This window comes from Homo sapiens, chromosome 22 (assembly GCF_000001405.40).
Source record: "Homo sapiens chromosome 22, GRCh38.p14 Primary Assembly".
Lineage (NCBI taxonomy): Eukaryota > Metazoa > Chordata > Mammalia > Primates > Hominidae > Homo > Homo sapiens.
Genome location: NC_000022.11, coordinates 37585883 through 37601267, shown reverse-complemented (window position 1 = coordinate 37601267; position 15385 = coordinate 37585883). Strand labels below are relative to the sequence as shown.

General features: G+C 49.3%; 1 annotated feature.

Moving 5' to 3' along the window:
• Nucleotides 10471-10550: an enhancer, noted in NCBI's record as "active region_18977". NCBI's record gives its function as "activates an Ori minimal core promoter by ATAC-STARR-seq in GM12878 lymphoblastoid cells {active_cell/tissue: GM12878}" and the evidence as "EXISTENCE:reporter gene assay evidence [ECO:0000049][PMID:35858748]".

Genomic DNA, 15385 nt, shown 5'->3' with positions numbered 1-15385 from the left:
GTTTGCTAAATAAAATCTTTTTTTTTTTTTTGAGATGGAGTTTCACTCTGTGGCTCAGGCTGGAGTGCAGTGGCTAGATCTCGGCTCACTGCAACCTGCGTCTCCCACATTCAAGCAATTCTCCTGCCTCAGCCTCCCGAGTAGCTGGGATTACAGGCACGAGCCACCGCGCCCGGCTAATTTTTTTGTATTTTTAAAAATTATTTATTTATTTTTGAGATGGAGTCTTGCTCTGTCACCCAGGCTGGAGTGCGGTGGCACAGTCTCGGCTCACTGCAACCTCTGCCTCCCGGGATTAAGTGATTCTTCTGCCTCAGCCTCCCGAGTAGCTGGGAGTACAGGCATGCGCCACCACGCCAGCTAATTTTTGTACTTTTAGTAGAGAAAGGGTTTCTCCATGTTGGTCAGACTGGTCTCAAACTCCCAACCTCAGGTGATCCACCTACCTCGGCCTCCGAAAGTGCTGGGATTACAGGCATGGGCCACCAGGCCCAGCCCTGTTTTTTGTATTTTTCATTGAGACGGGGCTTCACCATGTTGGCCAGGCTGGTCTCAAACTCCTGACCTCGAGTGAGCCGCCCGCCTTGGCCTCCCAAAGTGATGGGATTACAGGCTTGAGCCACCTCGCCCAGCCTGCTAAATAAAATCTTTAGAACTGGGGAGCATGGCAATGCTGGAGGGAAAGAAGTGCAGGACAGGAGAGTGCAGAGCTGTGTGACTTCGGGTAAGTCACTTCACCTCTCCAACCTCGGTTGCTGGGAGGTTAGAAATAACATGTACATGGCCGGGCACGGTGGCTCATGCCTGAAATCTCAGCACTTTGGGAGGCTGAGGCGGGCAGATCACCTGAGGTCAGGAGTTCAAGACCAGCCTGGCCAACATGGTGAAACCCTGTCTCTACAAAAATACAAAAATTAGCCGGGCATGATGGCACGTGCCTGTAATCCCAGCTACTCGGCAGGCTGAGGCAGGAGAATCGCTTGAACCCGGGAGGCGGAGGTTGCAGTGAGCTGAGATTGAGCCACTGCACCCCAGGCTGGGAGACAGAGGAGGCTCTGTCTCAAAACAAAAACAAACAAAAAAAGGAAGTTACACGTACATTACCTAGCACGCGGTAGGCATTCTATAAATTCTTTTTTTTTTTTTTTCTGAGATGGAGTCTCACTCTGTCGCCCAGGCTGGAGTGCAGTGGCGTGATCTTGGCTCACTGCAAGCTCCACCTCCCGGGTTCATGCCATTCTCCTGCCTCAGCCTCCCGAGTAGCTGGGACTACAGGCGCCCGCCACCACGCCCGGCTAATTTTTTGTATTTTTAGTAGAGACAGGGTTTCACCGTGTTAGCTAGGATGGTCTCGATCTCCTGACCTAGTGATCCACCCACCTGGGCCTCCCAAAGTGCTGGGATTACAGGCGTGAGCCACCGCGCCTGGCTGGCACTCTATAAGTTCTAAATAAAGAAGCCTCCACCAGCCTGGGCAACATGGCAAGACCCTGTCTCCATAAAAAAATTTTAAAAATTAGCCCGTCATGGTGGTGCATGCCTGTGGTCCCAGCTATTTGAGAGGCTGAGGTAGGAGGATGGCTGGACCCAGGAGGTTGAGGCTACAGTGAGCTGTGATCGTGCCACTGCACTCCAGCCTGGGCAACAGAGCTAGGTACTGTGTCAAAAAAAAAAAAAAAAAAAAGGCTCCAAATGGTGGCTGCTATTGGTATACTGGGAGAGGCCGTCAGTTCCATTCTCTAGGTTTAGGGCTTTGGTCCTACCCTTTTCCTTCTCTTCTCCTAGAGCATATAGCTTCAAAGCACCTGTCTTCACTTCTCCCTGCCTTGGCTTGCCTACAGCCCTGCACACTGGCACTTTGTCTCCCTGCCTCCCTGCAGGACAAGGACTTCAAGGACAGCAGGAAAGACTTGGATCAGCTCCAAGGAAGAACTTCCTTGTCTTTCTGTTAGAGTTGCAGCTGCTGGGGGGAGGGGATCAGAATGCAGTTCTCACAGAGTTAGAGAATTCTAGAGCGGGAAGAAATCTTTGAGATTGGGCCAGGCGCAGTGGCTCACACCTGTCATCTCAGCACTTTGGGAGGACCAGGCAGGCGGATCACTTAAGGCCAGGAATCTGAGACCAGCCTGGCCAACATGGTGAAACCCCGTCTGTACTAAAAATACAAAAAAAGAAAAAAAAATTAGCCAGGCGTGTTGGTTGCGTGCCTGTAATCCTAGCTACTAGGGAGGCAAAGGTGGGAGAATCGCTTGAACCCAGGAGATGGAGGTTGCAGTGAGCCGAGATCGCGCCACTTCACTCCAGCATGAGTGGCAGAGTGAAACTTCATCTCAAAAAAAAAAAAAAAAGAAAAAAGAAAAAGAAATCTTTGAGATCATCTATCTAGTCCAGAGCTTTTTGATATTTTGTGGCAGATTTCCAATTTAAGAAATATGTTTTACATCAGGATGGGATGAATTCAGATTTCGTGGAGCCTGAAATTTGTAAAAAATTGGGGAAACTCTAAGAAAAAAGGATATAAAATGACTGATGCAAAATTATGTATTTATTTATTTATTTTTTTGAGACAGAGTTTCGCTCTTGTTGCCCAGGCTGGAGTGCAATGGCATGATCTCGGCTCACCAAAACCTCCGCCTCCCAGGTTCAAGCGATTCTCCTGCCTCAGCCTCCTGAGTAGGTGGGATGACAGGCATGCGCCACCAGGCCCGGCTAATTTTGTATTTTTAGTAGAGACGGGGTTTCTCCATATTGGTCAGGCTGGTCTCGAATTCCTGATCTCAGGTGATTCACCTACCTCGGCCTCCCAAAGTGCTGGGATTACAGGCGTGAGCCACCACGCCCTGCTTATGTATTTATTTAGAGTGAGAAATAGATAAAAAACTTTAAAATGTTGGCAAATACCATAATTATTAAATCAGAACAATAAGATATTTTTACTTAAGCACCTGACATGCCACTGTAATACATTTTTTTCCTACAATTTTGGGCCACGTGCTTGTTATGTAGCAATGATTTTATTTTATTTTATTTTCTATTTTAATTTTTATTTATTTATTTATTTTTTGAGATGGAGGCTTGCTCTGTCCCCCAGGCTGGAGTGCAGTGGCGCAATCTCAGCTCAGTGCAACCTCTGCCTCCTAGGTTCAAGCGATTCTCCTGCTTCAGCCTCCTGAGTAGCTGGGACTATAGGCACGTGCCACCACTCCTGGCTAATATTTTGTATTTTTAGTAGAGACAGGGTTTCATTGTGTTAGCCAGGATGGTCTCGATCTCCTGACCTCATGATCCACCCGCCTCGGCCTTCCAAAGTGCTGGGATTACAGGCGTGAGCCACTGCGCCCGGCCTTATTTTTATTTTTTTTGAGATGGAGTCTCACTCTGTCACCCAGGCTGGAGTGCAGTGGCGCGACCTTGGCTCACTACAACCTCCAGTTTCTGGGCTCAAGCGATTCTCCTGCCTCAGCTTCCCGAGTAGCTGGAACTGCAGGCATGCACCACCACGCCTGGATAATTTTTGTATTTTTAGTAGAGGCGGGGTTTCACCATGTTGGCTGGGTTGGTCTCAGACTCCTGGCCTCAAGTTACCGCCCACCTTGGCCTCCCAAAGTGCTGGGATTACAGGGGTGAGCCACCACGCCTGGCCTCTATTTTTATTTTTTTAGAGATGAGGTCTTACTCTGTCATCCAGGCTGGAGTGCAGCGGCATGATCATGAAGTTCACTGCAGCCTCGAACTTCTGGGAACAAGGGATCCTCCTGCCTCAGCCTCCCCACTAGCTGGGACTATAGGCATGCACCACCATGGCCAGCTTATATTTTCTTTTTTTTGAGATAGAGTCTCACTCTGTCGCCCAGGCTGGAGTGCAGTGGCATGACCTTGGCTCACTACAACCTCTGTCTCCTGGGTTCAAGCGATTCTGCCTCAGCCTCCCGAGTAGCTGGGATTACAGGTGCCTGCCACTACGCCTGGATAATTTTTGTATTTTTAGTAGAGACGGGATTTCACCACGTTGGCTGGTCTCAAACCCCCGACCTCAGGTGATCCGCCTGCCTCAGCCTCCCAAATTGCTAGGATTACAGGCGTGAACCACCGCGCCCAGCCTCCAGATTATATTTTCTATAAAGGGAAAGACAAGTCAGCTTTCTGGCATGGTTGATCAAAAAATGTTTTTTACTTTTTTATTTTAGGAAAGTTTTTCTCAGTGTCATATTGTGTTGTTGGTAATGTGTTACATGCTGAGACACAGCTCGTGTGTCATGCCGTGTAAATCACGAGGTGTAGAAACATTTGCTGTTTGCAGTACTGCTTCAGGTTTGTGCTCTGCAAAAGCATTCTGATCAATTCGACTGCATATGCTTTCTAACAAAAAACCAAATCTTGCGTGGTACACTTGTAATTACATATGCAACGTTATTAACTATGTTCGCAATAGGCAGGAGTTCTATTCTAACCAAGTATCAATGGGAACTGAATCATCCATTTATAATTTAATGCATCTGATAATTGGAAGAATTTTCTACAGACTAGCTTCTGCTTCCCTACAATGCAGACCTTGTTTCTCCTCCCAGGACCACATTCTTCCCATGTCGGGCATCTAGGATGTATACCGTGGTCATAGAGTGACCCCTGTCCCTGCACCTTTAGGTCAGGATGCCAGATGTGTCAGGGGGGTTCCAGGAGTATTTCTGGAAGCCATTCCTACACTAGGGCCACTGGCAATCACGTAACTAGTCACAGAAGTGACTGTGAACCTTATAACTATAACCCACTGATTTCAATTTTTTTTTTTTTGAGGCGGAGTCTCATTCTGTTGCCCAGGCTGGAGTGCAGTGGCGTGATCTCGGCTCACTGCAACCTCTACCTCCTGGGTTCCAGTGATTCTCCTGCCTCAGCCTCTTGAGTAGCTGGGATTACAGGTGCCCATCATCATGCCCGGCTAATTTTTACTTATTTATTTATTTATTTATTTTTAGACGGACTCTCGCTCTGTCGCCTAGGCTGGAGTGCAGTGGCACGATCTCGGCTCACTGCAAGCTCCGCCTCTCGGGTTCAAGTGAGTCCCCTGCCTCAGGCTCCCAGGTAGCTGGGACTACAGGCGTGCGCCACCACGCCCAGCTAATTTTTTGTATTTTAGTAGAGATGGGGTTTCATCATGTTGGCCAGGATGGTCTCGATATGACCGCGTGATCTGCCCACCTCGGTCTCCCAAAGTGCCGGGATTACAGGTGTGAGCCACCGCGCCTGGCCTGTTTTTTGTGTTTTTTTTTTTGGTATTTTTAGTAGAGACAGGGTTTTACTATATGTTAGGCAGGCTGGTCTCGAAATCCTGATCTCAAGTGATCCACCCACCTCAGCCTCCCAAAGTGCTGAGATTACAGGTGTGAGCCACCATGCCTGGCAAACTTTAAATTAAGTGTATGTCCAACTTACCCATTAGTGGGGTCTCAAAAACGCTTATGGCCACCTCAGTATCCCCTTCCCCAGGGGAAGTGTGACAGAGAGCAAGTCAGTGGAAAGAGATAGCAGCAGCCCTGATTGTGACTTAAAACTCTTACTTTTGGGCCAGTCATGGTGGCTCACGCCTGTAATCCCAGCACTTTGGGAGGCCGAGGTGAGCGGATCACTGAGGTCACGACTTCGAGACCAGCCTGACCAACATGGAGAAACCCCATCTCTACTAAAAATGCAAAAAATTAGCCAGGCATGGTGGCGCGTGCCTGTAATCCCAGCTACTTGGGAGGCTGAGGCAGGAGAATCGCTTGAACCTGGGAGGTGGAGGTTGCAGTGAGAGAGATCATGACCTTGCAGTCCAGCCGGGCAACAAGAGTGAAGCTCCATCTCAAACACAAACAAACAAACAAAAAAACCTCTTACTTTTGCAAACTGTTCAACACATGAACACTTGCTAAGGTCTCTCCCAAGACAAGGGAGGAGCCCTGGAATTTAAGGTCTATTAGCGTCATGGAAAATCCATCTCTGACTAGGCCGGACGCCGTGGCTCACACCTGTAATCCCAGCACTTCGGGAGGCCGAGGTGGCCGGATCACCTGAGGTCAGGAGTTCGAGACCAGCCTGACCAACATGGGGAAACCGCATCTCTACTAAAAATACAAAATTAGCTGGGCGTGGTGGCGTGTGCTTGCAGTTCCAGCTACTCGGGAGGCTGAGGCAGGAGAATCCACTGAACCCGGGAGGCAGAGGTAGCAGTGAGCCGAGATTGTGACCCTGCACTCCAGCCCGGGCAACAAGAGTGAAATTCCGTCTCAAGAAGTAAAAAACAAAAACAAAAAACTCCATCTCTGACTCACACACACACACACGCACACGCGTGCACACACACGCACACATAATCAAGTTTCACACGGCAATACTTACCCTACGTGCCAGGCATACTGATATCTTCTGTTCTGTTCTCTTTGGCAGCCTACAGTTAGAAGGTGCTGGTCCAAGTCTCATTTGAGTCCAGAGTGGATTAGTGGCTTGCTGAAAGTCACAGAACCAGTAGCCCCAGAGCTTTGTCACCTGCCTCCCAGCCTGTGGGCCTTTTCTCTGCCCTCACGAAACGCCTTTTCCCTTTGGGCTGCCTTTTGCTGTGGGTCTCTTTTTCTGCTGGGAAAGGGCTGGATTGGGTCAGGGGCCATTTCTACTTGCTTCTCTGTATATCCATGGGCCCTACTCACAGAGGTTCAGGAGATGGTGGTTGAATGAATGGAATGAATGCAAACAAACACTTGGCCTTTATCCAGTTCATATCCATCACTTTTTCACTGACCTCCAGACCTGAACCCACAATTCACCTTCAGGTGACAACTCAGGAACCCCACAGCGCCACCGTGAACGGTTGGGCAGGTTGCGCACTGCACATAGCACCTGGCTAAGCATTCAACCAGACATCCAGCTCACCTCCATCTGCCAAACCCCTCATCCTGGGGTGGGTTATACCTTTTCCTAATTTGCACAAAAGCACTGATGGGTTAGCGTCAACCCTGCCCTCAGACCTGGGTTCTTACTTCCTGGGCAACTTGGGGCAAATTACCTAACCTCTCTAAGTTTGCTCCTCTGTAAAATGGAGACTGTAATACCTACTTCAAGGGTTGGCATGTGGTTAAAGTGATAGCATATGCACAAAGTCAGCGCTCAGTTGTCCCCTAGAAATCATGACACGCTTGCACAAAGGGCCACGTTCACAGAGGATCATGCAGGTTTGCTCGTAAAAGTCAAAGACTAGAAACAACCTAAATGTCCACCAGTAGGTGACTGGCTGAAAATGTCGAAGGTGGAATACATCCCAGCCTTTAGAAAGAGAAAAGTGTTGGCCAGGCACGGTGGCTCATGCCTGTAATCCCAGCACTTTGGGAGGCCGAGGCAGGCGGATCATGAGGTCAGGAGATTGAGACCATCCTGTCTAACATGGTGAAACCCCGTCTCTACTAAAAATACAAAAAATTAGCTGGGCGTGGTGGCGGGCGCCTGTAGTCCCAGCTACTCGGGAGGCTGAGGCAGGAGAATGGTGTGAACCCGGGAGGCAGGGCTTGCAGTGAGCCAAGATTGCGCCGCTGCACTCCAGCCTGGGCGACAGAGCGAGACTCTGCTCAAAAAAAAAAAAAGAGAAATGTGTTTCACTGAGATGGAACAATTTCCAAGATATGCTGTTAAGGGAATAAAACCAAAGTACAGAACAGCCAGTATAGGCCAGGCATGGTGGCTCATGCCTGTAACCCTAGCACTTTGGGAGGCCAAGGCAGGAGGATCGCTTAAGCCCAGGGGTTCAAGACTAGCCTGGGCAACATGGCGATACCATGTCTCTACAAAAAATATAAAAATTAGCCGGATGTGGTGGCATGTACCTGTAGTCCCAACTACCTGGGGGGCTGAGGCAGGAGGATCATTTGAGCCTAAGGGGTTGAGGCTGCAGGGAGCCATGTTTGAGTCACTGCCACTGCTCTCCAGCCTGGGTGACAGAGTGAGATCCTGTCTGAGAAAAAAAAAAAAAGGGCCAGGCGCGGTGGCTCACACCTGCAATCCCAGCACTTTGAGAGGCCGAGGTGGGCGGATCATGAGGTCAGGAGATTGAGACCGTCCTGGCTAACATGGCGAAACCCTGTCTCTACTAAAAATACAAAAAATTAGCCGGCGGTGGTGGCACGCGCCTGTAGTCCTAGCTACTTGGGAGGCTGAGGCAGGAGAATTGTTTGAACCCGGGAGGCAGAGGTTGCAGTGAGCCGAGATCACACCACTGCACTCCAGCCTGGGTGACAGAGACTCCATCTCCAAAAAAAAAAAAAAAAAAAAAAAGACGCAGTCAGTGTCTGGCATGTTTTCATCTGCGTAGCACATAGAATATCCCTGGAAACAAGCATGAGAGAGATATTGGCTGTGGGGATTGAGAAAAGAGGGAGACTTGCTTTTCCCTGTAAAGCCCTTTTGAGCTGTGTGAAGTGTTTTAATCACATGCTTGTCTTAATTGTCATATTTTTAAGTAGAGGTTTAGCAATTGAAAAGCTGTTTTTCTTCCTAATTTATATTGTTCTCTTAGTGGCCAGCAGGGGGAGGTAAATGCTTTCTCTCTTCAAACATCTAAACCACCCCGTTGACAACCACCCTTCTTGAGACAGGAGAATGGCTTGAACCGGGAGGCGGAAGTTGCAGTGAGCTGAGATTGCACCACTGCACTCCAGCTCGGGTGATAGAGCAAGACTCCGTCCGGGGCGGGGAGCGCCTGGCCAATTTTAACCATCTTTAAATGTAGGATTCTGTGGCATTTATTACATTTATAACATTGTGCAACCATCACCACTATCTAGTCCCAAAACTTTTTTTATCACCCCAAACAGAAGCTCTATACCCATTAAACAGTAACTCCACTATTCTCCCATCCCCTCAGCCCCTGATAGCTTCTAATCTACTTTCTGTCTCTATAAATTGTCTATTGCAAATATTTCATATGAGTAGAATCATACAATATTTGTCCTTTTGTGTTTGGCTTCTTTCATTGAACATAATGTTTTCAAGTTTCATCCATGCTGTAGCATGCAGCATGTATCAGCACTTCATCCTTTTTCATAGCTAAATAATATTCCATTGTCTGCTGGGCACGGTGGCTCATGCTGTAGCAGGACGAGCCACAGACAAAACTCCTCAGACACCGAGTTAAAGAAGGCAGTGGTTTATTCGGCCAGGAGCATCAGGCAAGACTCCTGTCTGAAGAGCCGAGCTCCCTGAGTGAGCGATTCGTTTCCCTTTTAAGGGCTCACAACTCTAAGTGGGTCCGCATGAGAGAGTCGTGATGGATTGAGCAAGCAGAGGGTATGTGACTGGGGGCTGCATGCATCGATAATCAGAACGAAACAGAACAGGACAGGGATTTTTACAATGCCTTTCCATACAATGTCTGGAATCTATAGATAACATAACCAGTTAGGTCAGGGGTCGATCTTTAACTACCAGGCTTAGGTCAGGCAGGCCCAGGCCTGGTTTCAGGTCTGGTTCCTTGCTTTCGGGTCTGGTTCCTAGGCGCCAGGCTACCTGCCTTTAGTTTTGCTTCTCTTTCCTTTTCTGAGTATAAGACAATATAACACAATATGAGAGGATCTGTCTCTCTTCTCTCAATGCCTGTAATCCCAGCACTTTGCGAGGCTGATGTGGGTGGATCACAACGTCAGGAGTTCAAGACCTGCCTGGCCAAGATGATGAAACCCCGTCTCTACTAAAAATACAAAAATTAGCTGGGCATGGTGGCGGGTGTCTGTAATCCCAGCCACTTGGGTGGCTGAGGAAGAGAATTGCTTGAATCCGGGAGGCGGAGGTGGCAGTGAGCCGAGATCATGCCACTACACTCCAGCCTGGAAGACAGAGCAAGACTCCCTCTCAAAAAAAAAAAAAAATTCCACTGTTTGTATATACCACATTTTGTTTATCTATTCATCTTTTTTTTTTTTTTTTTTTGAGACAAGGTCTTTCTCTGTTGCCCAGGCTAGGGTGCGGTGGTGCAATCACAGCTCGCAGCCTTGGCCTCTGAAGCTTAAATGATTCTCCCACCTCAGCCTCTCAAGTAGCTGGAACTACAGGTGTGTGCCACCATACCTGGCTAATTAAAAAAAAATTTTTTTTTTGTAGAGATGAGGTCTCACTATGTTGCCCAGGCTGGTCTCGAACTCCTGCCTCAATCAGTCCTCCTGCCTCAGCCTCCCAAAATGTTGGGATTACAGGCATGAGCCACCATGCCCAGCTCCTTTCTTTCTTTCTTTTCTTTTTTTTTTTGAGACAGAGTCTTGCTCTGTGGCCCAGGCTGGAGTGCAGTGGCGTGATCTCGGCTCACTGCAACCTCTGCCTCCCAGGTTCATGCCATTCTTCTGCCTCAGCCTCCCGAGTAGCTGGGACTACAGGCGCCCGCAACCACGCCCGGCTAATTTTTTGTATTTTTTAGTAGAGACAGGGTTTCACTGTGTTAGCCAGGATGGTCTTGATCTCCTGACCTCGTGATCCTCCTGCCTCAGCCTCCCAAAGTGCTAGGATTACAGGCATAAGCCACCGCGCCGGGCCGTTAGCTCCTTTCATCTGTTGGTAGATGCTTGGGTATTTCCACCTTTGGTCTGATGAATAATGTTGCTATGAACATTGGTTTACAAATATTAGTTTGAGTTCCTGCTTTCGATTCCTTTGGGTATGTGCATACTTGGGAGTAGAATTGCTAGATCATAGGGTAATTCCATGTTTAGCTTTTTGAGGAACTGCCAAACTATTTATCATAGCAGCTGCAACATTTTACATTCCCACTAGCAACATATTATACAAGAATTGAAACTGTTTTGTTTTTTTTTTTTTGAGAAGGAGTCTTGCTTTGTCTCCTAGGCTGGATGGAGTGCAGTGGTGCCATCTTGGCTCACTGCAACCTCTACCTCCTGGGTTCAAATGATTCTTGTGCCTCAGCCTCCTGAGTAGCTGGGATTACAGGCATGAGCCACCATGCCCGGTTAATTTTTGTATTTTTAGTAGAGATGGGGTTTCACCATGTTGGCAGAGCTGATCTTGAACTCCTAACCTCAGGTAATCCACCACCCTTGGCCTCCCAAAGTGCTGGGATTACAGGTGTGAGGCATCGCGCCTGGCCAAGAATCGAAACCTTAATTTATAAAACCAAACAAGTGCCAGTTGCCTGCTAGGAAATGGACAGACTGGTGCAGCAGTGGTGAGGTCTCTTTACCTCTTTGCAAAATTGGCTCCTGTGCTGGGCTGAGGATGTGGAGTGTGAAGGCCAGAGAGGGAAGGGCTGGAGGACTCTAGGATTCTGCAGGGAACAAAGGTGGGCCAGTGAAATCCCCAGCTTGGGAGGTGGCTGGTAGGGGCAGGAGGAGCTGGCCGAGGGGGAAACTGAAACCCAGAGATCCTTAGACATTGAGCTGGAGGTCATCATACCCAACCCCTTTTGCTCCTGCTGGGGGAACAAGGGTTGGGGCTGTCACGCGTACAGAGGAGAGAATGGAGCAGAGAATGCCTGCTCCAGGAAGGTCCCAGATAAGCACCTAATTAGCAAACTAAGATGCAGGCGAGAGACCTCGCAATGGCCCAATGTATGCAGAGTGCTGAGCAAATGCCAGCCAATTAGCTATTAAATACAGAATAATAATAGTTGAGTACCTACTATGTGCCATATTCTGTATGCCAAGCCCATTACATACATTCTCTAGGAAGCTGAGGCTACCTGGCCTGCCCAAGGTCACACAGCCAGTAAGAGGCAGCGAGGACTTGAGGCCAATGCCATTCCATGAAGGTGCCGGAGCAGGCAGCAGCTCTGGACACCCAGCCACAGTCTCATCTGCTCTCCTGCAGCCCATGGTCTCCCCAGGGGCTCTGGGAATTAGGGGAGAATTCATGACCGCTCTGGTTGGTGGGTCTCGGGGGTTGTGAACTTGACCTGCAAGGGTATTACGGCACCTAGGTCCTGCTCCCATCCTAAAAATAAAGGGTCAGCTTCTGAAATGGACATTTCCCTGAAGGCCTGTACCTGTTGATTTTGGCCTTCAGGAAAATGTCCATTTAAACCAAGCTGCTTCTGGAATCCTTTGGATTCTGATTCTGGGAGATGAGGCCCTGGGGGCTCATAGGTGTTTCCCCTTGAGGAAGGAGGCTTGTATATGTACGGGGTGCTGCGGGGAGGCAGCCCAGATGGTCCTGAGACTGCAATCATCAGAAAAGCAGTGATGGCAGCAGAATCTGTGTGGCCCAGGGCAGAGCTGGGGCCAACTGTGAGAGGAAGGGGATTGCCCCCAGGGACAGACTTCAGTAAGAGTGGGGGTTTCCAGTGGCCATAGGTGCTCAGGGTGGATCAGAAGCCTTGGGAGTGGGTGTGCTCCTGCGACTAGGGCTGCACTTGGCGGGGGACCTCCTTTGGTTGTTTACCACATTAGAGATGGATAAATGCTCCTCTCCCTGCTTGGCAAACACAAAGATTGAGGCGGATATAGTCCTGTCCTTGGCAGATATAATCCTGCCAGAAGCTGGGGGTGGGGTGGGAATGCTGGGGTGAGCAGCGTTGCTTCATTGCTTCTGTTGTTTTAGCCTCTCCTCACCATCCCCAGGTACCCGCCCGCATGGACAGCTGTGACTGGGTGATTAAGATGCAGAAGGCTCAGGTCAGGCGCTGTGGCTCACGCCTGTAATCCCAGCACCTTGGGAAGCCAAGGCAGGCAGATCACCTGCGGTCAGGAGTTCAGGAAAAGCCTGGCCAACATGGTGAAACCTCGTCTCTACTACAAATACAAAAATTAGTCGGGCGTGATGGCGGGTGCCTATAATCCCAGCTACTTGGGAGGCTGAAGCAGGAGAATCACTTGAACCTGGAAGGTGGAGGTCACAGTGAGCCGAGATTGCACCACTGCAGTCCAGCCTGGGCAACAGAGCGAGACTCTGTCTCAAAAAAAAAAAAAGGCTCCACTATCCATGGAAAGACTGTGTGGCCTGGGCCAGGGAGAAGGAACTGCACTCAGGACTCAGGTCACCTGTCTCTGAGGAAGAGCACTCAAGGACCACCCAAGTCACAGAAGCAGCTTGGTTTATATCTTCAATTTCTAAAGACACAGAGATGGAAAATCTTCTTGCCACTTATAAGAAGGTGGACACAGAACCTGATGATCTTTTCTGTAAATCCACCCAGCACCACACGTGCATAAGTTGGCGTGGCCCTGAGACGGAGGCTTCCTGGTTCAAAAGGCTGGGATGATAAGCCAGGGAGGGGGCAGGAGGGATGGAGGGAGGGGCCGTGCTGCACCAGATTGGGGCCCTGAAGATACCCACCCTTTGGGGCTCTATGATGAGCAATTCCTCCTGCTGATCCACCATCCATGCACCCACCCCTCCCTCCACCTCCTCACCCATCCACCCACTTAACCATGCATCTTTTTTCTTTTTTCTTTTTCTTTTCTTTTTTTTGAGATGCAGTCTCACTCTATTGCCCAGGCTGGAGTGCAATGGCCCGATCTCGGCTCACTGCAGCCTCTGCCTCCCAGGTTCAAGTGATTCTCCTGCCTCAGCCTCCCGAGTAGCTGGGATTACAGGTGCGCACCACCACGCCCAGCTAATTTTTGTATTTTTAGTAGAGACGGGGTTTCTCTGTGTTGGCCAGGCTGGTCTCGAGCTCCTGACCTCAGGTAAGCCACCCACCTCAACCTCCCAAAGTGCTGGGATTACAGGTGTGGGCCACCACGCCAGGCCTCTTTTTTCTCCTTTTTTGAGGCAGAGTTTCACTCTGTCACCCAGGCTGGAGTACAGTGGCACAATCTCGGCTCACTGCAACCTCCTGGATTCAAGCAATTCTCCTTTCTCAGCTTCCAGAGTAGCTGGGCTTACAGGTGTGTGCCACCACGCTTGGCTAATTTTTGTATTTTTAGTAGAGACAGGATTTCACCATGTTGGCCAGGCTGGTCTCGAACTCCTGAGCTCCCTCTCCCTGACTCCCCTCTCCCTCCACACCAGTTGCAAGTCTGAGCCTCTGGACTTCAAGTTGGGGATCCCACGACCCCTCTTTGGGTTCAGTTAATTTGTTAGAGTGGCTCACAGAAGTCAGGGAAACATTTGTGTGTACTGGTCTATTATAAAGGATGTTATAAAACATACAGATGAAGAGATGTTTAGGGCGGGTTATGGGGAAGAGATGCAGAGCTTCCCCTCCCACCTGGGAGCACCATCCTTCAGGACAGCCATGTGTTCAGCTATCTCAGAAGCTGCCCAAACCCAATCCCCTGGGGCCTTTTATGGGGACTTTATTATGCCGGCATGATTGACCTCTGTGTAGAACTGTGAATGGGCAAAAAGGATCTGATCTAATATTACTAGACGAAGTGTGGAACCCCCGCAAGGCCCGTCTGTTCAGATTCTTCTTGGCCTCTCTGTGCAGCATTTCTTACTCCAAGGGATGGAGCAGGACCCCTTCTGAAATGAGGGTCTTATGACAAGGTAGGTCAGGGAATTTCTTTTTTTTTTTTTTTTTTTTTTTTGAGATGGAGTTTTGCTCTTGTTGCCCAGGCTGGAGTGCAATGGTGCGATCTCGGCTCACTGCAATCTCTGCCTCCTGGGTTCCAGAAATTCTCCTGCCTCAGCTTCCCGAGCAGCTGGGATTACAAGCATGCACCACTACGCCTGGCTAATTTTATATTTTTAGTAGAGATGGGGTTTCTCCTTGTTGGTCAGGCTGGTTTCGAACTCCCAACCTCAGGTGATCCGCCTGCCTCGGCCTCCCAAAGTGCTGGGATTACAGGCGTGAGCCAACGCGCCCTGCCAGGGAATTTCTTTACGGAAGAATTTCTGTGTTTTTTTTTTTTTTTTGAGATGGAGTCTCATTCTTGTCACCCAGGCTGGAGTGCAATGGCGTGATCTTGGCTCGCTGCAGCCTCCCAGGTTCAAGCGATTCTCCTGCCTCAGCCTCCTGAGTAGCTGGGATTACAGGTGCGCATCACCGCGCCCTGCTAATTATTTTGTATTTTTAGTAAAGACAGGGTTTCGCCATGTTGGCCAGGCTGGTCTCGAACTCCTGACCTCAAGTGATTCGCCCGCCTCAACCTCCCAAAGTGCTGGGACTACAGGTGTGAGCCACTGTGCCTGGCCAGAATTTCTGTTCTAAGAAAGAAAGGCAGGGGGAGATTCCTACCTTGAGGAGAGAAAGGAGCAGGTGAAGGAAGGACAGCCAAAGGTCAGAGATTGATTCTGTTTTCTGAGGCCTGTTCCTGAGGCCTAAAGCACCCCAACATTATAACAAAAGACTAACAAATGCTGTGAGAGTTATGAGTTAGAAACCATGGGCAAAACCTATTTTATGTAATAATAGTATCACAGCACCCATCCATCCATCCGATTGTCCATCCATCCCTCTTTTGAGTTAAAACTGACATGA